The sequence below is a fragment of the Homo sapiens genome, chromosome 1 (assembly GCF_000001405.40).
Source record: "Homo sapiens chromosome 1, GRCh38.p14 Primary Assembly".
NCBI lineage: Eukaryota > Metazoa > Chordata > Mammalia > Primates > Hominidae > Homo > Homo sapiens.
Window position 1 is genome coordinate 222,086,832 of NC_000001.11, and position 26,821 is coordinate 222,113,652.

Here is a 26,821-nt window from a genome sequence, read left to right on the forward strand (position 1 = left end):
AGGTACACTGGCTTCATTATACTAGTTTCTCTATTTCTGTATATGTTCAAATTTTTCTATGATAAAAAATAAAAAGGAGATATCTAACTGAACAGATATTTAAAGAGGTTAAAAGGCAGAGGGCTACATCAATTGAGGGAGATGCACATTTTCAAAGAAGCAGGAAGAGAAGAGACACAAGCACAGGCATCACACAGAAAGCCACGCACACAACTCAGGGCTCCTTGGGATGCTAACTGATTTCTTGGTCTCTTAGACACTGTGTCTAAAAGAGAAGGAAAATTGGATAAAGATTATATTCCGGGAGGCAATTAAACAGTTTTAAGCTCTGTTAGATTCTACAGCAAGAATCAAAAAGAAATAGAAAAGCACAGTCCATCATTCTCATTGCACTGTATTTTTTAGAAAAAAAATGAACATTTATTCACAACTTACAAAGTAAGTCAGTTCACATTGACCCTACTGATGCTGAGAAAGCAAATTCAAAAGAAGTTTCAGAAAGCAACAGAAGAAAAAGCAGGTTTGTCACGGATGACAGGTTGAAAATGGGAGGGACAGGGCATGAGGTATGGGTGAACTCTGTGTGCGTTTTTCATAATGGAGCCTGAAGCAGTACAGTTAGCCCTCGGACAGGGAGCAAATGACCTCATTTGAGTCCTTTCTTTCACACTTTCTAAGCCTGGACCTTATTTTTTCCAAGCCTCAGTTTCCTGCTTTGGCGTGTACACTGAATTGGCTCCAGGGCGCGGTGTGGGGATTTATGTCGGCAAGTGTGCTCTGTCAACTGTAAAGCCGACACTTTCCATCACCCAAAGGAACTGCAGGACCTGGCACATAATGGGTGATTAATAAATCTGACTCTAGTACTGGAGCTCGGGGCCATTATGGTTTAAAGGCAAACATGAGGCAACTCCTGGCATCAAGATTTTCTCCTGTATTGCATTTCAAATGCTTCTCCCAAACCAAAGGCTCAGCAATTTTCACTCAGCATTACAAGGCCAAGAAGAAATCAGGCTGTAAATTGGCTTTGGACTTTTCTGGTTTTGTTTTGACTCTTGTTTGAAATATAGGTTTAAAAAAAATGTTTCTAGCAGCTTTAATGTAAAAGCAGTGTAATTCTTAAGAACACAAGTATTTGGATTAAAATCCTAGTCTCATTATTTCCAAGCTCAGTGACCTTGGGCAAATGACCTTACCTCTCTAAACCTTAATCTCCTCATCTGTATAACAAGGATTACAATGCCTTTTTCTGGACTGTTGTAAGGATTAAATGAGATAAAATTTTGTATATAAAGTGTTTAGCCAGTCCTGGAACATAAGAAATGTCTGTAATAATAATAGAATTACTAGCAGTACTTTGATTAACAATCATGCTAGGCAATTTCTTAGAGGTCTTCTCTTCCCAAATTTGCTGTGGTCTTGACTGGAGTAACCTGAGCTCTAAGTTGAGAACAGTAAACACACAGTATATAAATTAAGGAGAAGGAATGTCATCAGTCCTCCTTTTAAGACAACCTCTTAGAAAGTTACATCCCTCCATATACACTTTCCCCCATCAGGTATGGTCTTGGATGATTACCTTAACAAATAAAATGGACAGAATGGGACTGGAAACACTGCCCCAAATTCCACAGCCACTAAAAAATCATGAGTATAAGAGTAAATATCACAGTCTATCATTTGTGAACATTTCAATGTCTACATTATTGATTTGACCATTCCTAACACCTGCCCCTACTCACTGGTCTTAGAATCTCATTTAACCACAGTATCAGAATTATATATTTAAACTTTATACAGGTAACAGCCTATATATGAATAGCAACATAAAAATAATTTGCCTCCCCTTTCTCAGGTTTGGAATGGAGAAACAAATCACAAATCACAAAATTATTCTCATATACTTAATATAGAAGAAAGCAGTTTGTCTCAGTATTAATGATCACTTCCTTCTTAATGTTTTGCAGGTTTTTCTTTTTTCTTTTTTCTTTTTTTTTTTTTTGAGATGGAGCCTCGCTCTGTCGCCAGGCTGGAGTGGAGTGGCGTGATCTCGGCTCACTGCAACCTCCGCCCCCAGGTTTAAGTGATTCTCCTGCCTCAGCCTCCCAAGTAGCTGGGACTACAGGTGCACACCACCACACCCAGCTACTTTTTGTATTTTTAGTAGAGACGGGGTTTCACCATGTTGGCCAGGATGGTCTCGATCTCTTGACCTCATGATCTGCCCACCTTGGCCTCCCAAAGTGTTGGGATTACAGGTGTGAGCCACCGCATCCGGCCAGGTTTTTCTATAAGACTTCGTTTTCCTCTCTCATTCCTTTTTCTTTTTCTATCCAAGAAGCATATGCACATACTGTTTTCTCAAGAGCTAAGCTACATTGAGGTTTCCCTTCAAGAACCCACTTTTTACCCACACATCATGGAAAAATCAGGACTAGCTGTCAGGTGAGACCTGTAAAACCAAGACTTTGCCACGGTGCACACAGATTAGATTCTCAAGCCACAGGTCAGCGCTGAAGTGGTAATGTGGGGAGAAGAGAGTTTTGTTGTCCTCACTCTCCTGAGACTACAGTGGAGTGAGGAGGCTGAGGGAAGACTCAAGGCAGGTCACTTCATTTCTGAAATCTGCAAGGCCCTCACGATGACCCTGGTAGCCTTCCGGAGCACAGCCGTTTCTAACATGCAGCCTGGTGTCTCACACATCCTCCAGGAGGGAACTTATGGAGTGGAACAACTGTAAAATAAACAGTACCGAGAGATTCAATATGCTTGGTTCATTTATTTATTACAAAACAGAGTAGGACAGAGAGAACTGCATTTATACTCTTTTCTCCTCTGGTTATCATTTTCTTTGTTGTCATTTGCAAGCAAACCAACAGTGCTCAACAAAAAGCATGTTCTAACAAATGTTCTTTCCCTGAAATCAGTTTTGGGTACATGCTGCTAAAACTGTTCAATTTAGTGGCCTGAATGAGTCCAGTAGTTTGGGCCTGACATTTGCTTAGATCAAGTTTAGATTTGCATGACACCCACCTCATCTAGTTTTAAAACATTCATTCCCATAGAACTGGATACTCGGGGAGAAAGTAAGAGAGTTGCTGAGGAAATAACCATTGTCTTTTCTTTGCCATTATTGCTGGTGAACTCAGATTTAACATGCTAGCCTGCGGAGACAGTAGAACTGCGATGCTTCACGGATAGGCCCTCAACCACAGTGAAAGGCTGCCAGACACAGAGAAGTAAGGTACGGATGGATCAGTGCATACGCACCTCCCTGCTCTCCATCTTCCACCCAATTCATGCACATCGCCAGTACAGTAAAGACACTTACATGGCTTGTCCTAGTCACCCCTTCTAGTCAGAAGAGGATGTGGGTGAAGAGAGCTGTCTTCTTATATGAAAGTCAGTGCTTCCTCATGACTCCAGCAGACCACGATGGAGTCAGAGGGATGAGGGGTGACTTTATGCTGCAGGCCAGATCCTGACCAAAAGCAAATTCCTCTCTGAGCGCCCTCATGCCTCTTTCCTTATCCTTGCAGCTTGAAAGCAAACCCAAACCCCAACAGCCTCTTAAGGACTAACTTGCTAGTGGGATATGGACAACTTCTTACCCTCAATATATCAGCTATATGTCGTCATTAAGACAACCATTATTTGCTTGATTTCCCATAATAGAATTAATCTGTGTTCAATTTAGTCAGGCTAGTCCTGAAATTCATTTCTCACATCTACAATTCTGAGCATGTCAGGGAAGTGAGCTGTGATATTGTCATTCTAAAACAGCATAACAAAAAGGGAACATCTCCAAGCTGCTGCTCTTTTATATATTAGGATGACGGAGTCCAGAAGAAGCTCTCTTAACCAATTTCCACTTAATGGCTTCGGTAAATAAACTACACTCCCCTTCTGCTCTGTTCAACATCACACTAACTGAGGTGGAAGCACCTAAAGGCACAACATGTGACTCTCTGAATTCCCATGGACTTCTGCTCCCATAAGTTGAAAAGTAAGCATGCCAAAATTCAGTTGCACTTGCTTCCAAACCTGATTATAATAGTTGTTCTTCTTACTATCATTATGTAATTTAATGTAATATTAAATATAATTAAGAAATTTTAGGGCCAGGCATGGTGGCTCATGCCTGTAATCCCAGCACTTTGGGAGGCCAAGGTGGGCGGATCACGAGGTCAGGAGATCGAGACCATCTAACACAGTGAAACCCCGTCTCTACTAAAAATACAAAAAAAAAAAAAATTAGCCGAGCGTGGTGGTGGGCGCCTGTATTCCCAGCTACTCGGGAGGCTGAGGCAGGAGAATGGTGTGAACCCGGGAGGCGGAGCTTGCAGTGAGCTGAGATTGCGCCATTGCCCTCCAGCCTGGGCGACAGAGAGAGACTCCGTCTTAAAAAAAAAAAAAAAAAAAAAAAAAAAAAAGAAATTTTAGTATCAAAAGGAAGGAGTAGTCATCTCTGTGAAAGTGACAATGGGTGTTTTGTGAAGAATCAATAACCATAACTCTCTAAAGCAGTGCTATCCAAGAGAAATGAAATCCAAACCACTTATGTAAATTTACATTCTCTAGTAGTCACATTTAGAAAGTAAAAAGAGGAGACAGACATGTGACATGTGTCTGTAGTCCCAGCTACTCAGGAGGCTGAGGTGGGAGGATCACTTGAGCTCAGGAATTCAAGGTTACAGTAAGCTATGATTGTGCCACTGCACTCCAGCCTGGGCAACAGAGCAAGACCCTATCTCAAAAAAAAGTACGAAGGACCAGATAAAATTAATTTTAATAATCTATTGTATTTTACTCAGCATATTCAAACCATTATTTCAACATATAATCATATAAATTGAGATATTTTATGTTCTTTTTCTGTACTAAATCTTGGAAATCCAGTGGGTGTTTTACATTTCTGCCATCCCTTGCTTTTGACTAGCTCCATTTCAAATGCACAGTAAACGCATGTGGCACATGTCTACTATATTGGACAGAGCAACTCTATAGAACTGCCATTTAGTTAATAGAGACAACTATTATGAACTGGGGGAATCTTTTTTTTTTTTTTTTTTTTTTTTTGAGACAAGGTCTCTTTCTATCCCCGAGGCTGGAAAGCAATGGAACAATCATGGCTCACTGCAGCCTCAACCTCCTAGGCTAAAGGGATCCTCCCACCTTAGCCTCCTGAGTAGCTGGAACCACAGGTGAATGACACCATACCCAACTAATACTTTTTTTTGTAGATACAGTGTTTTCCTATGTTGCCTAACCTGATAGAACTTTTTAATAGTTACAATACTCAGATTGCATTGCAAGTGTCTGTAAGCTGTCTTTCCACAATAAAGAAACTCAAATTGGAAATGTCAAATTATTCACTGTGGATATGACTGAAACAAGAAAGGAAACCAGGAACCTGAGTCAATGAATGCAAATTCAAAGAGGATCCTTGACTCTGCATTCAAAAATCTGACAAATTAATGTAGGTTTTAAGTTAAATGGGTTTATGGTATATACAGGGCTTTTTTATTTTTATTTTTTGTAAAATGATTGTCCATGTTAACATAACATTTTTGATTAATCAAAAAATACTGTAACAGTAACTGGATAAAAGAGCATCTATTGTAATTGAAGTGCTTTTAAACTAATTAATTTTAATTGAATTCAACAAATGTTTACTGAGCATCTTCTATTTGTGAACTTTCTTCCTGACTATAAGGATTACACAGATTGCTAAAGGGCATAAGACAATGAAAACAATTGCAACACAACAAGTAAGAAAGAAGTCAAATGATAGGGCAATTGTGTTTGATTGGAGAATCAGGAAAATATCCCATGGGAAAAAAATAGCTTTTGATATAAGCCTTGAAGGATGAGTAGATTTTCATCATAGAGATGAACGAAAGAAGAATATTTTTAAATAGAGATTATAGGACTTTCTGATGAACAACTTTCCTATCAGTACTATCAGCACTTACTGTTACATGACCAAAAGATGTATAAGCTCTCGTGAAAAAGATGTGGGGATTTTAATTGCTCTCAGCCTCGACATAGGCTAGAAAAGTTTGATGTTCAGTGTAGGAAGAAACCAGTGGCCAATGGTTGTTTAGCACACCGCTGAGTGCTCAGGGGAGCCTCAGGAAAGAGGCAAAGGGAGTTGAGCTGGATCTGTTGGGAAAAGGATTCTCACAGAAAGTAGTTTATGGATGAATGTTCCAGCAACTGTGTATATATTTTCTCAGAACAAGGGGAAAGTAAGAGCACAAAGAGAGGCTGGGACAGTCTGAGTAGGGGCTCGTGCACTTAATTTGGAGTCAAAAGGTAAAGGTTCACCCACACATGCTACCTCTGTAAGCCTAGGCACATCACTCAGCCACTCTGAGCTTCAGTTTCCAATATCCCAGGAGTGCTATAGGGATTAAACGAGACAAGGTAGGTGGACATCCTCAGCCAAATGTGAACATTACCCAGATTTTAGGTACTAGTTACTGTGATTATTATTATTACCTTTAGAAAGGTTTTGCATTTATCCCTATGTGAGGTAATAAAATCCTGGAATGCAGTGGAGGCAAAAAAACATTGACAAGAGGAAACAGGAAAAATGCACTGAAGAGAAAAAGTCAAAGTTGGTCATTGATTGGATTGGTGGTGGCTGGGACCACAGAGCTAAGAATAAAAAAATTTTTTTTTCATTAATGACAAACAAAAGAAAGAAACTTCAGCATATGGTTTGCAGCCATCAAATGGCAGCCTTTTTCACTGAAGCCACCACTTGGCTTGCATTTTATATCCAAGTTTACATTCCAATACCCCGTGCCCCACTTCCATTATCGATTCAAAATTTTCTTTCTCTCCCTCCACACTGAAGCTAAACTGCAGGACAGGAAAAAGCATGTGGCTTGGTGTGCTAAAAGTTATTGTCATTTATTAACTCCTACTTTCAAGGCCAGAAATTACAAATAGAATGCTGAGCCACTGCTACTGGTAGAGGAAAAATATGCTCTTAAAATTGATAGGATGCACACCCACCATTCTCCTCATTGCCGGCCACCAATATATCAACGGTTGCCAAGTGATTACAGCCTATGACCACCAGTGGCCAGATATTGATTTCTCTTGTATTCAGCAGCAGTTGAAGTTATGCATATGTGTGCACACACACACAGACACACACACACACACACACACAGAATACACTTTAAACCTTATAATCAAATTAATTATGTTTCTGTCAGAAAAAGTATTTTTATTTCTAGGACAACACAGTAAGAGTTTTTTTTAAAAATCTTTTAATTAGAACTAACTCTAAAATGATACTTCATTAAATCACTTAAAAGGAAGTATAACCATCCGAATCCTGCACTCATTTGTACAACAAAGTCTAGATTGGTACTAATTATGTGACACTTGTCAATTCCTTGCAATATGCCTCGTCATGAGTAGATTCTTTAAGCTCAGAGGTAGAATAGGTAAACCATTCACAGGATGCTACAGATACCAAGAAACAGTCATTATCTTCTCTGCAAGTCCAATTGTATATATCTTTCAAGGTTGTTCATTGTTTTGAATTATATTGTCCAATTTTCCTCCATTAGAGCAGATAATGGAGCATGAACTATATCTGGTAACATCTATGATCTAGGAGTAGGTCATACCCTAAGCAAAATTATGACATAGAAAAAATGTCTTTAATATCCTTGGATCTCTCTTTTGACCATTTTCCTTACATATCTACCCATCCTCCTTCTCCATGGCTTCTTTTGGGACTTCTTTCTCCAATAGTATCCTGTAATTGAGATCTTTCTTGTCTTACCCTGGATTAACAACACTTACATATCTTGTATTTTACTATTTAAAAGGCATGGTCTTCATTCATGAATGCTATACCAAAGAGAGTTACCTCAGTGGTAATGTAAGGCTTTGTGGCTAGCCAAAGAGATTTTTCCATATTCCTCAAACCATATCCTCTAACATCACACTCAGGGTGAGGTGCAGGTAAAGGAAAATATGTCAAAGCACCTTGTTAATTTCAAACAGCTCCATAAATGAAAGAAAGCATTATTATTATTCTGCCTGCACAAAGGGTTAGTGGGATGCTGGAGCTGGCTTATACTGTGTATATCTCTTAACTGTGTACATCTCTTCCTTTAGCTTCATTCAATGACATCAAGTTGGAGGTTTGAAATCAGCCCCAGTGAAAATATTTACACCATGATAATTGGTAAATGCTACATATCAGGGCTTCTCCCTGCACTTCCTAGAGAGCCAGTTTACCAGCACACCACTGCATAAGATCATCTTTATGTAGAAATAGATGGCATCTTGAAATTTTTTTTTAATTTTTTGGCCCATTGAGTTGCCCTATTTTCCTGATTAGTCTTCTTCCCTTGCCAACACAACATGAAAGGATTTGCCCATGCACATACATATCTCAACTCACTGTAATAATTAGCTTAATCATGGCTTTTCTATTCACTGGTATATGCTCAGCACCTACACTGCCTAACATATAGAAGGTGAAAAATATTAGTTGATTAAATGAGCACACAGACATCCCACATCTACACTTGTGTGTGAACAGACACACACACATATGCCCACTGAGTCTGAGTTAACATGAGAGAGCTATTTATAAACAACACTTCAGTAGTAAAGGGCCATTTTATTTTCTAGTTAGAATATTTACTTGGTTTATTGCCAATGGCCTAAAATTCCTGGAGAAGCAACTGTTAACAACAGACAGGATCAAAAGCTATTTAAATATTGCAGAAAAACATGTTTTGCTACTTTTAAGTTTTATTATCCTCTTAGGAAAAAGACTAATTTTTGAAGTGCAAGTCGTCCAAAACAAATCTTTTTAAGTCCCCAAGATGCACCAATATGCTTAATGGGCAAAATTGCCTCATCTCGTATCATCACTGATTCTAACTTCAGAGTCACTAGCTCTCTCCTTCCTTTTGCTCAAACAACCTTCTCACCGTCTGTTCACTCTTCAGTTAGACCCCACAGAAACCACGCTGTCAAAGGTCACAATGACCTTCCAAGTGGCAATCTCCAGGACATTTCTCAGTTTTGTAAATCCCTCTGTTGCATTTGGCACTGTTGTCTTCTGCTGAGTCTCATTCTGGCCATGTTCAATTTCCCCCGGCCTGCCAATATGTGTCAGCGCCCCTCCCTGGAGTTCCTCCAGCCCTGCCCCACAGCTCCTGGCTCTTACTTTCCCTTGCTCTTTGATTTCTGACCTCTTGGTGTCCTGCACACTTTGGCTACTATTCCCCCACCTCACTCACAGGATTGTCACATACCTGTCACAAAGAAGGCTCTTACCTATGTAGCACATAATGAACACAAATTTCATGCCCACACATACACCCAGGTGCACACATGCATGCACAGGTATATGCGTGTGCATACAAACATATATTGACACGTCCATTAGCTCACTTCTTAGCCCTCGTCTGTGTGTGTGGACTTCCCCCCTCTGCCTTTCAGCACATCTGGCTCTTCCCCGCAATTCCCCTCCTTGCCTCTAGGGGGCAAACTGTGCCTCAGTCTCAGCCTGATGTTGAAAAAGTCCTCAGTTAAATTCTCCCCTCCCTTTAATTTAGGTGAGATTCACTCACCTAAGTTAGTTCTAGGTCCCGCCCCATCTTCTCTTCCCTTAAAGGCAGAGGTGCCTCAGGCGCTGTCTTTGACTTTCTCTGGTCTCTATCCCAAAGTTATCACTTTGTCTCATAGAATCCCATGGCTTCAACTATCCCCTACATATATTCATATTCCCCAAAAGCAAACCTGGAGAAGACCTGAATTAAATCTCTAGTTGTAGCTTCCACTGACACTGAAGTCTCAATATGCCCCAACCCAACCTTTTTATCTTCTCACTCAAACATATTTTACTTTGCATTAATGACACTAGACCCTAATTACTCCTGTGAGAACTACTAAATGTACTTGTGATTCTCCCCTCTCTCTCTCCCCTCAACTTTCATTCATTTGCTGAATTCTGAGGATTCTCCCTCTGCAAGAGTTCTCACCTCTGTCTCTGCATTACCACTGCCTACTGCCACAGTTGAGGCATTGGGCGTTTCTCGTGTGAACCGTCACAGTGAAATGCTAACTGACCACATCACGATGAGCCTTTCTCCCTCAACTCAGCTGCCATACTCACCTGCTAGACTTGTCTTTCTAAGCCCAGTATGAGGCTGTATGTCACTCTTTGTATTTTCCACTGCTGACAACAATATCTGCACAAGATTACCAGCAGACTGCCTACATCTGAATCATCCAGGAGGCTGGCTTACAATGCAGATTTCTAAGCTCCACTTCAAGCCAGCTGAATCAAATCAGTAGGTCCCAGAAATCTACATGTTCAGCCAAGTCCCTTTATAAGCCTTCAGCCCACTACAGCAGGAGAGCCACTGGCATAGAGCTTCCTCTGTAGGGCATTTAAAGCCTTTCACTATCTGGCCCCTGCTTACCTTTTAATCTGATTTTCGCCAGTCCCTTCACCCATGCCCTCATTCTCCATACTTACCCTGTGCCTTTGGGTGTTTCTCTCCCTGAAATGCCCTCTGCCTTTTGCTGCCAGATCTTACTAAAGCTTAGCCCTAAATTCACATACTCTGTGGCATCGTCTGTGATGCCTCTGGTTATATCCAATTCCTACCTCTTCAGGACCTCTGTTACCCTCAATAAAACAGGATTTGTTCAGCTGGTGAGTAACTCCACGAGAACACAGGTTTTGATCAATAAGAGTTTTATTACTTGGTGCAAGTAAGGAGGATACTGGGAGTGTTCTCCAAAGCAGTGTCTCCCGGAGAGAAGGGGACAGGAGGGTTTTATGCGGCAATGGAGAAGGGTGCATCATGGCAGGTAGAGGAGGGGTCCCAGTTGCACAGACATGATGAGTCATCATGCCAGCATATGGGTTGCATGTCATGGTAATGCAGGTATAGCTCCTCCCAGGGTGGAGACTTTGGCATAGTAATGAGGAAAGTTCACTCGAGTTCATCTAGAAGTTGCCAGGATCAGTCAGGACCTGGTTTAAACCAACAAGGTGACTGCATTCCACACAGGCTGCAGGGCAGGAGGCTGTAAAACAGACTGACCAGACTGACTGCTCAACTTGATTCGATTCCTATCATCCCTGGAGACTCTCCCTGTCTGTTTATACTCTTATATACTTTATAACAGTGTATCTCTGTGCATTATAGTAACTGTTTTAGTACCCCTTTCCTTTTTGGCCAAATACCTCTTAAGGGCAAGAACCAAGTTTTACTTATCCTTTTACCCCAGTGTCTGACACATAGTCAGTGCTCAATAAAATGATGTTTGAATGAATGACTGCATAAATACTGTCTTCCACCACTGCAATTCAAACATCAGACTCCATGGATAGCAGCATTTAGAAAAACACTTATATCTAACCATAATGATTCTGACAGGTTCCTGATAACTCTGGAAGTGTTATGCATTCCATCAGACTGAGAGGACCCAAATTTCATTTCTGAAATTCAGAGGACATCACAAGGAGACAGTTCCATTTAAATTTATCTTTCCAATTAAGGGCATAGACACAGATTCAGTTAGTTTGTACCGAAAGAGCCATTCATAGAATAGCCAACAGCTAAGGCCTAATTCTCAGACTAATGAGTAACTAAAGATATTTTTGAAAAAGCTGAATGTCGACAATATGACAGGGACACCAGAAAAACAAGGCTGTGGATGGCACTTGCCATCTGTCATCTGTCCAACAGTTGATGGCATTATTTGAATAACCCCTGAGTTTGTGGATTAGTCTTGTGGACCAGAGATAGGAGTGGAGGGGTTAGGAAGAAGGAAGTCACAAGGTCCCCTCTTTTCAAGAGTTTACAGTTCAGTTAGAACCACCTAAATGCTGCATGTGGCAAAAACCCAGGAATAAAAACAAAGAAGTATGGTAGAGACTGCACATTGACCTAATGTAGAAACAAAGCCCACAGCTGCTAGGGAAAGAAAGAGATTCGAGATTTATTTGTAATGAGAATTTTGGCACTGGAAGAGCCTACAGAGACCATGTAATACAGCAGTCTCACTTCACAAATGAGAACTAAATGCCGAGTGAAGTGACTTTTCCAAAGCCATTCGAATTGTTTATTTAACCAGGAAACCTTTCAGATAGAAATAAGATATGCCTGGAAAAAGAGAAGGTAAGTTTTTCAGAGAGCTATGTTGGAGGAGGGAAAAACTATGTGAGGAGAAAAAGAGAAAGAGGTTTCTGCAGAAGGAGAAGAGGCAAATGAGCAAGTTTGGGAGATGAAAGCAAGAATTTCTAGTGCAGTGCAAAGAAGAGTGATGAGGAGTGAGACTGGGGTGTCACGTTGGAGGTGGGAACCAACCTTTATGAATGGAAAGTCTTAGCTAGAAGAAGGAGGAGGGTTGCTATGAACCCAACTGAGTTCCAGCCCTATATAATGAATTCCTGTGCTGTTAGAATCCAACCTCACTCAATCACAAATTTTTGAAGCTGGAAAGACCTTGAAGGAAAACTAAGGAACTCATCTTAGAGATGAATAAGCCCAGGTTCAGAAGGAGGCAGGGCAAGTGTGTGGTCTTTGGAAACATGCTGATTCTAGTTTTAACACTCATCAGCCATATGTCTTTGAGCCACTTATTGAAGCTCTTTGAGCCTCTGTTGCCTTTCCTGTAAGAAGGAGATATATTCAATTCATAGTGTTGTTATAAGGGTTAGACTATCATGCATCATTAGCACCTGGCCTAGTGTGAGCCCATAAATGGAATTCAGTGAATGCTTCTTCTGCCTCCCTTTGTGCTAAGAGATGAGTTGCCTTGCCCAGGTCATCAGCTTATGCATAGCAAAGACAAGGCAGAAACTTTAATGTTTAAACCTGAAAATCCAAGCTACAGCCCTAAAACAGGCTGCCCCTCTTGCAAACTCTACCTAGGCTCCCACCAAAGTACTTAGGATCCTTTTGAAAAGGGGCAGTTCCGGAATTGCCATAAGAGACCAGGAATTCACAATCAGAACTTCATTTGCTTTCCTTCCTGAAGTTTGTCTTTAGTGAGCTCACAGCCTTGACGAATGAAGAAACAAACCCATCTCAAACAAACAAAAAACAAAGAGGGCAGATCAAAGACAAGTCCTCTATGAAAGTATGTCAGCTGGGGATAGAGGATAAAAGCTTTTTTGTTGCTGAATGAAAAAGCTCTTTTGGCTTCATGATTTCCTAGGGATTATAATAATAATGGCCTGGATTATCAATACAATTCACATCTGAATGTGCTTCACATTTCTCAAAACCTGAAGATTGGAAACTAAATTGTTGAAAGCCAATCAGTCCTGGCCAGGTAGAGGTGCAAGGTAGACACAGAGACTCTTGAGCTGTAGGAGGTTTTATCAATATGACAGATACCCTTTGAGGGATGAGCTATTGGCATGTGGGCATTGAAGTCCTGGACAGAATGTAAATATTAAGACTTTAAAATAATAAATACAATATTCCCCAAACGAATCTTTTTATCTTCTACCTCAAACACAACTAGTGCTCTTATCAATGACCTGGGACAGTGCTTTTTTTTTTTTTTTTTTTTTTTTTTGCTTGTCTTTAGTAATGTACTGCAACTCTGCTCAAGTTTGTTAAGCATTTCTCAGGTTCCAAAGAATTTTCTGACACTAGCATTACAAAAGTGACTAAGACGTGGTCCCTATTTTCCAAAATTTGTTTAAATCCCAGCTCAAATCATGTCACTCCTCTGATCTAAACCCTGCATTGTTGCTCCATCTCACTCAGACGAAAGCCAACATCCTTGCAGTGGCCACCGGCTCCCACCTGATCTCCTTGGCCCTTCCTCACTGACCTCATCACATACTACTCTCTCTGTTGCTGATACTGAATATGCCAGGATCCTCCTGCCTTTGTTAATGAATGCATTTTTCTTTCAGGAAAAGAGATGAGCTCTATGAGGAAATGCAAAAAGCAATTATAATTTCAATTGTGGAAAAAGAAAACTCAGAAGTCAACTTAAGAACTTGCCAGTCAGACTGCTTTTTGAGGGAGCTGTCCGATGAGCTGGTGTTGCTATTTGAGGTGAACCACCCAGCTAGCTGGGTGGCTTGACTACCTAGAGGGAAAACTTGACCATTCATACAGCAGAGAAAGACGTGACTAAAGAACACTGTCCCCACTATACACTTCCACCCTGCATGACATCAGTGAATCTTTGACTTCCTTTAGGTTAGCAAAGCATGGAAACGAATTTCAGGCCAAATGACGATACATTCATGATCGCTGGACAATTTTATTATCTGGATCCTGGGGCAGTGCATGCAGTGTTTGTCCTGGAGCAACCTCCTTAAGGGGCCACCTCTGCTTGAGCAACACGCTGGAAGCTTCATAGATAGGTAACATTCTCTAGCTTGCTACCCAGCCCCCTTGGTGTCATGTTTCTCTTCTCCCCCATCCTCCTGTGTAGTGCATGTGCTCTCCAGACTCTCCCCAAGGCTCTGTCCCTGTCCCACCTTCCCTCTCTGAGAACTTCCCACCTCCGCTCCACTCCTTCAGGTGAGGATTTTTTTTTCTCTCTGACTCAACACATATGCAGATAACTTACTGGTCAGACCCTTCTTTGTTGTATTCGGTCTCTAAGATCCTGGGCCTATTTGTTACTCATATTGTCTAGATCTTGGGAGCAGAGCCATGTCCAAAGATCATGGAATTCTTTGCACACAGAGTGGACACCTGACCTGCCATCAGGGTGTAGGCTTTCCTGATGCCCCTCCCACCCGAGCCAGGTGTGAGTGGAAGGGATGAATCTCAGAGGGTTGAATAAGTTATGAGCCTTAGTTCATGATATATCATCATCTTTGATTTGGGTTAATCTTTGATTTAATTAGCTATCACTTTTATTCCCATTCTTCATTCCCATGCCCCATCCATAGGCAGTCATATCTATGTGTTTAATGTTTACCTTTTTATCTGTAAATGCCCTTATAAAATATGCATTATTATTTGGCGTACATATATTTTTCACTTACACAGACAGTATTGAATTATTTATCTTCTTCCCCCCATTCAGCACTATGCTTTTAAGGTGCATGCATATCGTTCTGTGGGCTTCTATCTGCGGCATGATCAGCCACAGTGTGCATCTGTGTATCATGCTCTCTGCCTTCCCAGCCCCTGACAAACACACAGACAATGCTGTGGGAAACATCACAGTATATATTCATATCTTCATATGAGAGGCATATTCCCAAGGGTGAAATTAAGCCCTATAAGATGAATGAGCTATAGATACAGGAATGTAGGTATAGATAGATGTAGATGGCAAACATAGATATTTAAATTCATATGCTTACCTTGACTAAGAATGTATTATGCCAGATGCCACACAGAACCAACCCCTTCTTCCCCCATACCTCTATTCTGCCCCATACCAATTTCTAGCGTAGCACTTGCTAGAGCACCCAGAAAGAAAGGGGCCCCTTCCTAACCACTACCTGCACACATATCTCATTCACAAATCATAGCCAGGTTTCCAAGTTAAATAATAACTTCTCTACAGAGTCTTCCTTGATCCCCACAGCTGGAAACAATTGCTCTGTAGTCTGAATTCTTGGTCTCTTAGTATCTTTTGTCTGATAACTTAATATTTTTCAAAGGACACCAATCATAGTTACATAGAGGTTTAATCGCTCCTCTAAGCTCTAAACCTGTGAACAAAGGATTACCACGAGTCATCTTGGTGACTTGGTGGTTATAACATGGGCTTTGAAGTCTAACAGAACTGAGTTTGTCTCTGCTGTGTCATTTATAAGCTGTGTGACTGTTAAACAAGTTAATTCAATTCTCTTAGCCTTAGTTTCCCCATGTTGATACTGCCTATCTTAATGATTTATGGAAGAACCAAATGAAAAGCTGCACATAAAACAGTCCAGTGCCTAACATATATGACCAGCTCAATAAGTGGTAGCTGCCATTAGAACTGTCATGACCATCATTATTGTCAAGCGGCTGTACAGAATATGGCACAGTTCCTACAGTGGTAGACACTCAGGAATTGTGTCGTAAATGAACAAGCCTCAGAAACAAAAACTGCCCTGTCCAAGGTCACCTGGATGGAAACTGTCAGGGCTGGTACTTAAACACAAGCCTTCTTTGTGGCCTACCTTCTCTAAAACTAAACTAACTATTTTTTAGAAAAAAAAATTAGCTATTTATAGGACTGGAACAGTGAGACAAGAGGAACTGAATTTCTATATCACTTCAATCAGAGAAATTGAAATTGCATGTATGGGGGTCAGAGACTGTGCCAAGTCTCCATCTGGTGACACTTTCCCTCGTCCTGGTTGGTGGTGGTGTCAGGAGGGTCTATGAGATGACATACACGTAATACACTAGACCAGTGTCGGCAGGTAGCGGATACAGGAATCTGCCCTAATTATTACCAGCCCCTTGACCCAGAGACACAGAGGATTTCTCCTGCTTCTTCCCATGTAAAGCAACCATCTCCCTCCTCAGCCTGAGGAAAACCTCAGTTCAAACAACCTTCCGACCTTTCTCAAAGAAGGCTGGCTGTTCAGATTCAATAAAACACAATCTATGTGATTAAAAAAAAAAAACTTTTAGCAGCTCATTAAAAAGTTCCGTAGGTTTCAAGAGCATCAAATGGCTTTTCGCAATCAATATTTTCAGGCTCTGGAGTGAATCATAAAGATTAAACACTTTCTTCCTTAAAAAATAAAAGAAATCTGTCTATAACTGAATAGAAAGAACTGATGAGACAAGGAACACAGGTGGGAGTAGCCACGTTCTACTTCCCAAGAAAGGTCCAGCACACTGGCCTGGCCTGTCTGCTACCCACAGAACCCTGTGCTGAGGGAGGGGGCCCGGGGGCCAGGCAGGTCCAAGCAGGTTATTCACCCAGAGTTTCCCCATTATGGATTCCAGTAAAGGAACGACGAGAACTATGATATCCACAGAAAGTTTTAAATTATACTGTGAAGAAAAGCCTACCTCTAACATCAAAAGGTGCCCAGGAGCATGTCACCATGGAAGGCTCAGGGCGGGTTAGGCCAGCCATTTGGGAGTAAATGTCCTGAACAGAGCCCTAGAGCCCAGGGCTACTCTTGAGTGAAGCAGTTCTACAAAGAAGAAGCTGGAAATGTTTGTTCTACTTAAATCCCTGGAGATACAGGTGGCGTCTTCTTGGGGTGGCCAAGGCCCCAAAAACTATCTCCCCAGACTGCCAAAGGGAATCGTAAAGTAAGTTAGAGTGAAGGGGACACTCAGTGTGACACAAATGCATGCAAGGGCGGGACTGTGTTTGACTGGGGAGCATGGAGCCTCTTGGGGTCCCAGCATCCTGCAGGGCAGGAGCAACAGTGTCATGAATTAGCTGCACAGCAAGGGTCCATAGGGTGCCCCAGCAGAGGTAGGTGGGCTGAGGATGAGTCAGAGTGTTGCAAGGCCAGCAGCCGGCAAGGACCTTTGTTAGAACACCAGGCTGGCGGATGCCAATCATTACAAAACAGAAGAGGTCAGGAGCTGTTTATTCCCTGCACTGTTTTGTTATAATTACTCCAGGAGGTCCACCAGGACCCACAGGCACAGGCCACTGACCTGAAGAACGTTTTAGTTTCTCCACTGAAGTCTGTTCCCAATCACAGCAGAGATGGACCTACTAGGACTGACAGAGACCCAAATTGCAACAAAGATGAAGTTTAAGAAGGCCAGGTCTGGGACAAACAGCTCTAAAGATCTCCATGCCCTCCATGAAGCCATGTTCATGCTCAGCAAATGCACAACCCTTGAGGGGGAGTCCTGCGTGAGTGCCTGTAGCCCCTCTGTGTGATCTGTCACCACCAGCTGCAGACCAAGTGGCTCCCTGTGCAGCAGGGGAGGTGAACAAAGAATCGTGTTTCTCTGCTTCTTTGCCCCTGTATGTTGAGTTTATTTTCATCCCTAAGGCTCCATTCAGGCAGAACTCTCTAGCCTGACCTCCCCCCGGGGTGGCATTACCAGCCCATCCATCTTAATGAAATAACTGAAGTGGAGGTACAGAAAGACTTAAAGACTTAGATTGCAGTTGAGCACCAAGTAATTGATCTGATCGTTGGTGATAAATCCATTTCAGGCATCTTAATGACTGAAGGCAGTTATTAAGACAACCAGTGACATTGCCTAGTCATGGCTATTTTAGTCTCAAAGGTCTGTGTCTGTATGTGAGGCTGGGCCCAACAGCTGACCTGTAAGCAGAAAACAAAAAAGATTTAAACAGTCCAACAGTGAGGTTTTTGCTCAATTATTTACGTTAATGTTCATCATAGCTTCTTTCTGCAGCCAGACTCTTTGCTTGCACTGGGAGATTATTCTAAGATGTACACAATGCACTTGCTGCCAAGCCGGATCAGGAGGTGGGGTTGCAGCTTACAGTGCAATCCACAAGTGACACTTCTGTAAAAGCCTCCATGCCGTGTTATTCTCAGCCTGTGTGAAGACTGCATTGTGGGATTCATGCCAGAAACCCAGTCTTGTCCCATTTTGTCCCCCCTACCAATACTTGCTTTGTTCATCTGAAGGACCTAATGATACCCAGCAAATGCTAAACAGAAGATTAGGGGAAGGAGAGAGCTGCTCCTGCTATATTACAGGTGCCTTCAGTGACAGTGCCAGCTCTGAGTCATTGATGACATTACCGCCACCCAGGGAGCAAAGGAGAGCACAGCTACCTCCTCCACCTCAGGACATGACAAAGTCCCATTGTCCTCTGGTTCTGGTTATTGTTCCCTTGAAAGAGGCAGGGCTGTGGCTTGTTGTGACCCAGAGCTGGTTAGAGCCACTACCCATCCCTTCCCTTCCACTCTCCCAAACCCACACCTCCAAGCAGAAGGTGTGCAGTCCAGAGAGGAACTGGCACATGGGGTTTCCTACAGAGCCACACTTCTTCATTGCATGAAGTGTGACATATGAGAGTGCACTCCAGGCACCCTGTGTTCAATGTGCTACTCTCTGTAGGCAACTCCCAAATTCTATGACTTTATACCAAAGACACCATTCCACTGATCTCCCACCTCAAATCCAAGCCTTGATCCCGGATTATCTCCTGATGGTCCCTGATCTCCACTCCTCTCTGCTTCCAGTCCCACTGTCCTGCAATTACACAGGAAGCACTGGACCAAGAAGCCAGGGCAGAGAATAGCGGATGAGATGAGGATGGTCAGTGTGGCATCGGGAGCGGGGGAAGGGGAGGCTTTAAAGCCTAAAGGGTTAAAGTCTTGCTTGTAATAAGAACATGGATGCAACATGGGTCATAAAGTCAAGGATGGAAGAAAATTCTAGTGGCTTCAGAAAGGCAGAGTTAAGAAGAAATTATTGTAATAATGCAGTGACTCTCAACTTTTTAGAAATTGAGCTTTGCTTTCAAAAGTATTCTTCCTGGGAACCCCAATATATAGATGAGATAAAAGTGGAAGTCTGGTTGGAGAAGAACCTGCATCTCATTTTCCCCTGGCCACCTCATTCCCTCCTTCGTGGCAACTCAACAACACCCCCAGGGACCCAGAAGGCTCTGGGGTTGACTGAAAACTCCTGTCACAGTGAAGACAAGAAATAAATGAATTAGGTAGCTGTGGCAACAAACACCAACAAAAGGCAATTGCTTAACACAACAAAAGCTTTTTGCTCATCCACACGAAGCCAACTGTGGGTCTGGGTAGCTCTTGAGGCAGCCGTCACATGGAGTGGCTCAGCGCCCCTGGTGTTCTTGCAGCACCTCTGTTCCAACACCTGCCTCCACGATGGGCACAGCGAGAGACTTGTGTCCCTGCTTTTAAGTGCTTCCACTCAGAAATGACACATGTCACTTCCCATTCCAGCTCATGCAGGGGAGCTGGGAAATGTAGACACCCATGTGCCAGGAAAGGGAGGAGAGCCAGAAATACTGATGTATGTCCTGATAAGCTTAATAATGTTTATCACAACAAAAAAGGCTTATTAGATGAATGAGCCTTGCATTACATTGACTGAGTGCATTACAGCCTATAGACTAGCACTCTACCTAGTTTATATCTTCTAGGTAAAGAGTCACAGGAGTCACAGGTTTAAAAAAAAAAAAAAAGAAAAAAAAATAAGATCCAAGACTGGCTTGGGGTCTCACAGCTAAGATTTAGCTGACCCTGGAAATTCCAGTCCCAGATCCACAGCCCTTGTTTCTACAACAGAGATCCAGGGAAGGGGAAGGAAGAGCTACTGAGAGAAAATCAGGATGAATTGGTCAGATAAATGCATATGCAAAAAGAAATAGTAAAAATCGCTCCCCAAGTTTTCTCACTTAACGAAGGAGAAATGGGAGACAAAATGTAACCGAAGGGCAGGGCTTGGGAGGAAGATAAACTCAATGCACCCCCCACCCCCCTGCCCAGTCTACCGTATTTCAAACAAGTGAATCATCCCACTTTGGGTATCAGGTTGATGGATTTCAAGACAGGCTGGACCAAAGAGGAAAGTTCACTGTAATTAAGTAAATATGTGCAATTTGTAAGGACAATTTGCATGCACGCAGCACTATGCTGTTTACAAAGCACTTTCATATGCAGGATCTCATCTGTATTCAGAGGCTCACTGGTGCCCTAGGCAGGGATGATGTTATCCTGGAGTAACGGCGTAACTTAGTCTGTGAATGACACAGGACACATTCTTGGCAACTCTGTAGGACAGGGCATTTGGTCCAGACAGGACACTCACCGGGCTACAAGGTCTAGCCCCTGCTCCGGGAGGTGGGGATCCAGTGAATATGGCCCACCTCTTGTTGATCCACATCCTCAGAGCCTGAGGCTTAGCCCCAGACACCTCTAGCCAGCCTGTTTCAAACCTTTGCTCTCTAGGCTTCACCGAACAGGGAGCTCAGATAATTTTACCACCCAGGACATTCAAAGTGGTTGTGTTGGCCTGAGAGAGGGCAGGTAGGTGTGGCCATCAAAGTTGAGGGTGATCTTACATTGTCAATGGGACTGCTCCCCTTCCAGGGTCTGGAGAACGGGGCAGTGCATCACTCCCACCGACAGAGAAGGGACAAGCATAAGCTGGGCAGAGTGTCAGAGCCAACATCAGAGGAGGACTCTAGTCCAAGCAGGGAACAGGTAGGCAAGAAAGACATCAGAGTAGACACCAGGGTCTATAAAGTGGGCTGACAGGGAGCAGGAGGAGATGGGCCAGGTGACCTGCCATTGTGGCCGGTCTGGTCTCATCAAAGTCCTCCTCTCTCCTCCCTGCCCTTGTCTGGGTAATCTGGAACAGAGCTGAGGGGCCCTGCTAGGAGGGCAACAGTGCCTCTTGCTGCAGGGTGCTGCAGGGAATCACTCAGGACATGCCTTCTGTCTCTGCCTGCTGAGGCTCTTGGACTCCTGGACTCCCCACATCCCAGTGAGAGACAGAGCTGCTGGCCAGAGCTGCAGACTCCTCGATTGTCCCGGTGCTGGTCTGAGAGCCTCCATCTCTTTATCTGGAACATGACTCCAACCACTTCACCTCTCCAGGACATCGTTTCCCTAGCTACTGAGGATGAATTTTGCTCACTTTCCTTTCTTGGCAACCCAGTTCCTGTAAGAACTGCTTTGAAGCTCTCCGTCTGCCTTGGATTCATGGCAACTGACAGGCTGGCTCCTCAGGCATTCTCATCACCTTCCAGTCTCAAGCAATTTCCTTTTAATTCAAAGGTGCAATGGAAATTCTCACCTCTCCCAGAGACACAGAGCCCTAAGGTTGAGGGCAGAGATCTAAGCCCAGGTAATCAGGGAACAGGTGACCTCTTGGTTAAATCTGGTCTCAGTACTCGGGAGCAAAAGCCTCCTCCCCCTTCAGGTGGGCAAATCTTTAAGCAGTGTTCTCAACCCTAGATATTCATTAGAATCACATGGTGTGTTTTTAAAAATCACTATCTAGACCCTTCTCCCACCACCACCAATTAAATTAGAATGTTAGGGGTTTAAGTCCATGTATTCTTATTTTTTAAAAACTCTCCAGATAATTATAATGGATAGGTAGTTTCCTGCTGACACATCAACTCTTCAATTCATTCTGCTAATCTCAGCCTATGCATTACTTTGTTCCAATCTTTTTATTAATTATTGCACCTTACAATTACACGGTGCCAAAGAAAGCATGTTCATATGAATGTTTTACTAACTCTGTGAGGCCAGTGCTCGTCCATCTTACTTGGAAAGAAAGGGTCTAGGTCCTATTCACAGTTACATCCCTGCCATGTTTCACAACATCTAACGTGCAGTGAGTACTTAGTGTCTATTGAATTGTAAGATTGCTATAGCATGATTTTATTATTATTATCATCACCATTTTAAAGTTGATGAAACTGAGGCCAGGTGAGGTAAAGTGGCATTGCCTAAGATTATACAGCCAATTGAAAGGAAAGGCCAAGACTAGAACCCAGATCTTCTAAGTCTGGTGTAATTTCCAGACTCCTCTCCTTTCATTCCTCTCATCAGTCTTTTCCCAGGTCTGCCCATAGCCTCACATTAGTCTTGACCCTGTTTTTCAGGAATATGAAGGTTTCTAAACCCTGGGACACAGGTGTGAGAAGCACCAATAGACGTGACCACAGCCAAGGAACACACCCCCTTGTCTGGTCCTGTAGCTTAGCTTAGACAAGAAACAAATACAGAGGAGCAAATCTGAATTGTGTACTTAATAAATGATTGTGGATAATGATGGTTGTGGCAGTTATGGGAAGAATAGGCCATTGGATGGGCTACCCCTCTATCAATAGATCAAGTATTGTGTCCCGTGGTGACAGGCCCAATTACCAACTGGCAGGCGTATGAACAACATTGAAGGAATTTCCACAGAAGAAAGGTTCTAAACCCACGGATACCTTGATGTCCTCAGTTTCCCCTTTGGGAAGTGAACACCTGCTCTTTGATATGGCCTTGCCTTGAAAGAAATATAAAGGATTCTGGAAAACAGCTTGGGGAAGTGCAGTGGTTCTCAGTATATGGTCCCTGAGCCAACAGTGTCATCATCACCTGGGAACTTGTTAGAAACACAAATCTCCATGCCGCCCCAGACCTACTGAATCTGAAACTCTAGGGACAAAGCTCAACAATCTGTGTTTTGTCAAGTGTCTGATGAAGACTAAACTTTTAAAACCACTAGTGTGGTGGGTAGGGCACCAACTTACTGGTTAGATACATCTGCCCTGGAAGCCCAACTCCAGTATTTACTTGGCGAGTTGCCTGGCAGTAAGAAGAAACAGAATACAGTCATCCCTTGGTATCACCAGAGGATTGGCTTCGGGACACCCATGGATCCCAAAATCCACAGATGCTCAAGTGCCTGTTATAAAATGGTGTAGTATTTACACATAAGCTACACACACCCTCTCGTATACTTTAACTCATCTCTAAATTACTTACAATATCTAATACAATGAAAATGCTGTGTAAATAGTTGTTATATTGTATTAGTTGTTTTACTTGTATTATTTTTACTATTGTATTGTTATTGTTATTGTTTTCTCTCAAAATATTTTTGATCTGAGGTTAGTTGAATCCACGGATGTGGAACCCACAGATATAGAGGGCCAACTGTGTATGTGTATGTGTGTGATGTGAAATTTATATATATATAAATTTATATATATATATAAATTTATATATATATAAAATCTCTCTCTCTCTCTCTCTCTCTCTCTCTCTATATATATATATATATAGAGAGAGAGAGAGAGAGAGAGAGAGAGTGAGAGAGAGAGAGAGCAAGTTCTGAACATGTGGGGGAACCCACTGACCTCCACATTTGTCCTGGCAAGGCTTTTCACAAGTGCCTTTCCACCCTAACACCCACAGCTGCCTAAGAAATCATCAGGCTTAATCCAGTCTTGCCCAATATTCATGCTTCCCTCAGTCACCATGCAAAGCACAAAACCACAGGTCATTTCTAATTCCTGGCCTCTATACCCATATATTCCATATGTCACCAAATCTCACCCCATTACCCTTTTCTCTTCAACCGTTAAACCTTCCATCTGAAACTCATGGTCAATCATTAGCAAGATCTCCCACAGACCCAACATCTACTCCTGCACCAATTAAAACACAACTCTATCCACTGAAGACGCTAATTCTCCTACAAACCTCTAAAGTAGCGGCTATTTTCTTTCCTACAGGCTCCCCCCTTTTTTTTTTCTTTTTTTGAGATGGAGTCTCCCTCTGTCTCCAGGGTGGAGTGCAGTGGCGCGATCTCAGCTCACTTCAACCTCCGCCTCCTGGGTTCAAGCGATTCTTGTGCCTCAGCCTCCCAAGTAGCTGGGATTACAGGCACGTGCCACCACACCAGCTAATTTTTGTATTTTTAGTAGAGGCGGGATTTCACCATGTTGGCCAGAATGATCTCGAGCTCCTGACCTCATGATCCGTCTGCCTCAGCCTCCCAGTGTGCTGGGATTACAGGTGTACGCCACCATGCCTGGCCCCCACACCCCTTTAAATTCTGGGTCTGGATGTGGGGCAGGTGTCCTTGTTCCTTATTGCTGCTTTTAGACAATAGTCTCTGTCTCCTTCCTAAAATTTTCAGCTGTTCTGAAGCTGAGGCCATCAGACCTGCTGCTACCTCTCATTGTTGGACTCATCTACAGAGGTGCTTTTCAAATTTAAAAATGCACATGTGAATCACCTGGGGAGCTTGTTAAACTGCAGATTCTGCTTTAGTAGATGTTGGGGGAGGCCTGAGATTCTGCGGTTTAACCAGCTCCCTGTGATGCAGGTGCTGCTGGTCCAGGGACCTCCCATTGTACCAGTAGCAAAGATCTGCTGGTTTCTGAATCACTCTTCCTCATTTCTTGATAATTTTATTACCTGGATCACTGTCTTTATCAGTGATCAGTGTCTTTCAACACTGCTCCTGTCATCATTCTTTGTTATTTTAACAAAAATAAACATAAACAATCCATCCAAAACCCTGGCCTCTCAATTTGGTTTTACCTTTAATTATCTTCTTTTTTTTTTTTTTGAGATGGAGTCTCGCAGTGTGCCCAGGCTGGAGCACAGTGGCATGATCTTGGCTCACTGCAACCTCCGCCTCCTGGGTTCAAGCAATTCTCCTGCCTCAGCCTCCTGAGAAGCTGGGATTACAGGCATGTGGCTAATTTTTTTTTCCTCATGCCTGGCTAATTTTTTTTTTTGTTTTGTATTTTTGTAGAGATGAGGTTTCACCATGTTGGCAAGGCTCTGATCTTGAACTTCTGACTTCAGGTGATCTGCCTGCCTCAGCCTCCCAAAGTGTTGGGATTACAGGTGTTAGCCACCACGCCCGGCCAATTATCTTATTTTCTACCTCACCTCATTTACCAGCTTTCTTGGTTATACCATAAACCTTGTCATTAGCAGCAACTATAGCCCTACCATGATCTTAATTTCACATGCCCCACACTCACTATACCTGCTCCCTCCCATGAATTCCATGCTTCAACAGTGCTGTGACTCACTGAAAGTTCTAATCCACTAGATGTATAACATTTTTCTTACCCCCACCACCACCCCACACCTTTCTCATGTGTTTGCCTCCCTCCTTAACCTATAATTATAATCATTCTGTTGAATTGCTATGGTTTGAATGTGTCCCCTAAAGTTCCTGTGCTGAAAATTTAATCCCCAATGCAACAGTGTTGAGAAGTAGGGCCTTCAAAAAGTGGTAGATTAATATCCTTATTGTCATTACTAAGGAAGTGGTTTTACTATCAAGAGAGTAGGTATATTTCAAAAGCAACCTTGACCCCCAGAGCTCTCTCCCTCTCTCACAAGCACACTCTTGCCCTTCAGCCTTCTTCCATGAGATGCTGCAGCAAGAAGATCCTCACCAGATGCTGCCACCATGCTCTTGGACTTCCCAGCATCTAGAACTATGAACCAAAAAAAGCTTTTGTTGTTTATAAATTACCCAGTCTGTGGTATTATATTATGGCAACACAAAATAGAGACATGCATATACTCTCAAATCTCTGGCCTCTCTCTAAACTGGCAAAATCTCAAATTTGGTTAAATTAAACTCTTTATTTTGTGTTCCTTCAGTCAGCACATAGCTAGAGAAAAATACATAGGCATACTGAATGGTCTTGCTTTAACGTCAGTTGGGCTCATATGTAGTCCTAGTCCATTTGTTTTTCTACTCTCCTAAATTACTCTTCCTTACCTTCTACTCTCCTGTAACTCCTATCTTCCCTCTGCTCTTCGTAGACAGATGATAATCTTGCTTCTTATTTCACTGTGACAACTGAAGCAATCAGAATATAATTTCAGGAAGTGTCCCCTATACTATCTACTCACCTACCTGCATCTATGCCCATAAACTGTCCCTTTCCCATTGTTGCTAAGGATTAACTTTCCCAAGCTTTTTTGACACAGGCCAATTTCTTCTTTTGTTCCCTTTGGACCCAGTCCTTCTCACCTATCCAAGGGCACAGGTCCAGCAATTTTCCTCTCCTGCTTCTGCATCAACAGTTATTCCTTATGTGCTCAGTAATTCCCAACAATACCCAAACACACTTCCCATCTTACAAAAAAAAAAAAAAGGAAAACAACAACAAAAAAACCTTCTTGACACCTACAAGCCCTTCCAATTAACCATGCAAGTTTCTGCTTTGCCTTATAGCAAAACTCTTGAAACTACCGCCTATAGTCATCTCCAGTTTGCTCCAAAGTTTTGTTTCTCTTATTGGAGCTATATTTTACATAAGGAAGACTGAATATATTGTATAAGCACAGTTTAAGAAATAAATAGGAAGTAAACCCTACTCAACATCTCCATTTGGGAGT

The 26,821-nt window shown here is 42.5% G+C and overlaps 1 long non-coding RNA gene across 1 annotated transcript in view, besides 1 other annotated feature; it reads right to left on the bottom strand.

Moving 5' to 3' along the window:
* Positions 1 to 397: 397 nt before the first annotated feature.
* The window catches only part of LOC124904518 (uncharacterized), a 33,654-nt gene continuing 7,230 nt past the window's right edge, over positions 398 to 26,821 (bottom strand). The window contains exon 2 of the long non-coding RNA XR_007066886.1: positions 398 to 2,734. This is a non-coding gene — a long non-coding RNA (uncharacterized LOC124904518). The remainder of the gene's footprint in view (positions 2,735 to 26,821) is intronic.
* Positions 11,943 to 12,143: a silencer, noted in NCBI's record as "peak711 fragment used in MPRA reporter construct". NCBI's record gives its function as "represses an SCP1 promoter by STARR-seq MPRAs in K562 erythroleukemia cells {active_cell/tissue: K562}" and the evidence as "EXISTENCE:reporter gene assay evidence [ECO:0000049][PMID:32103011]".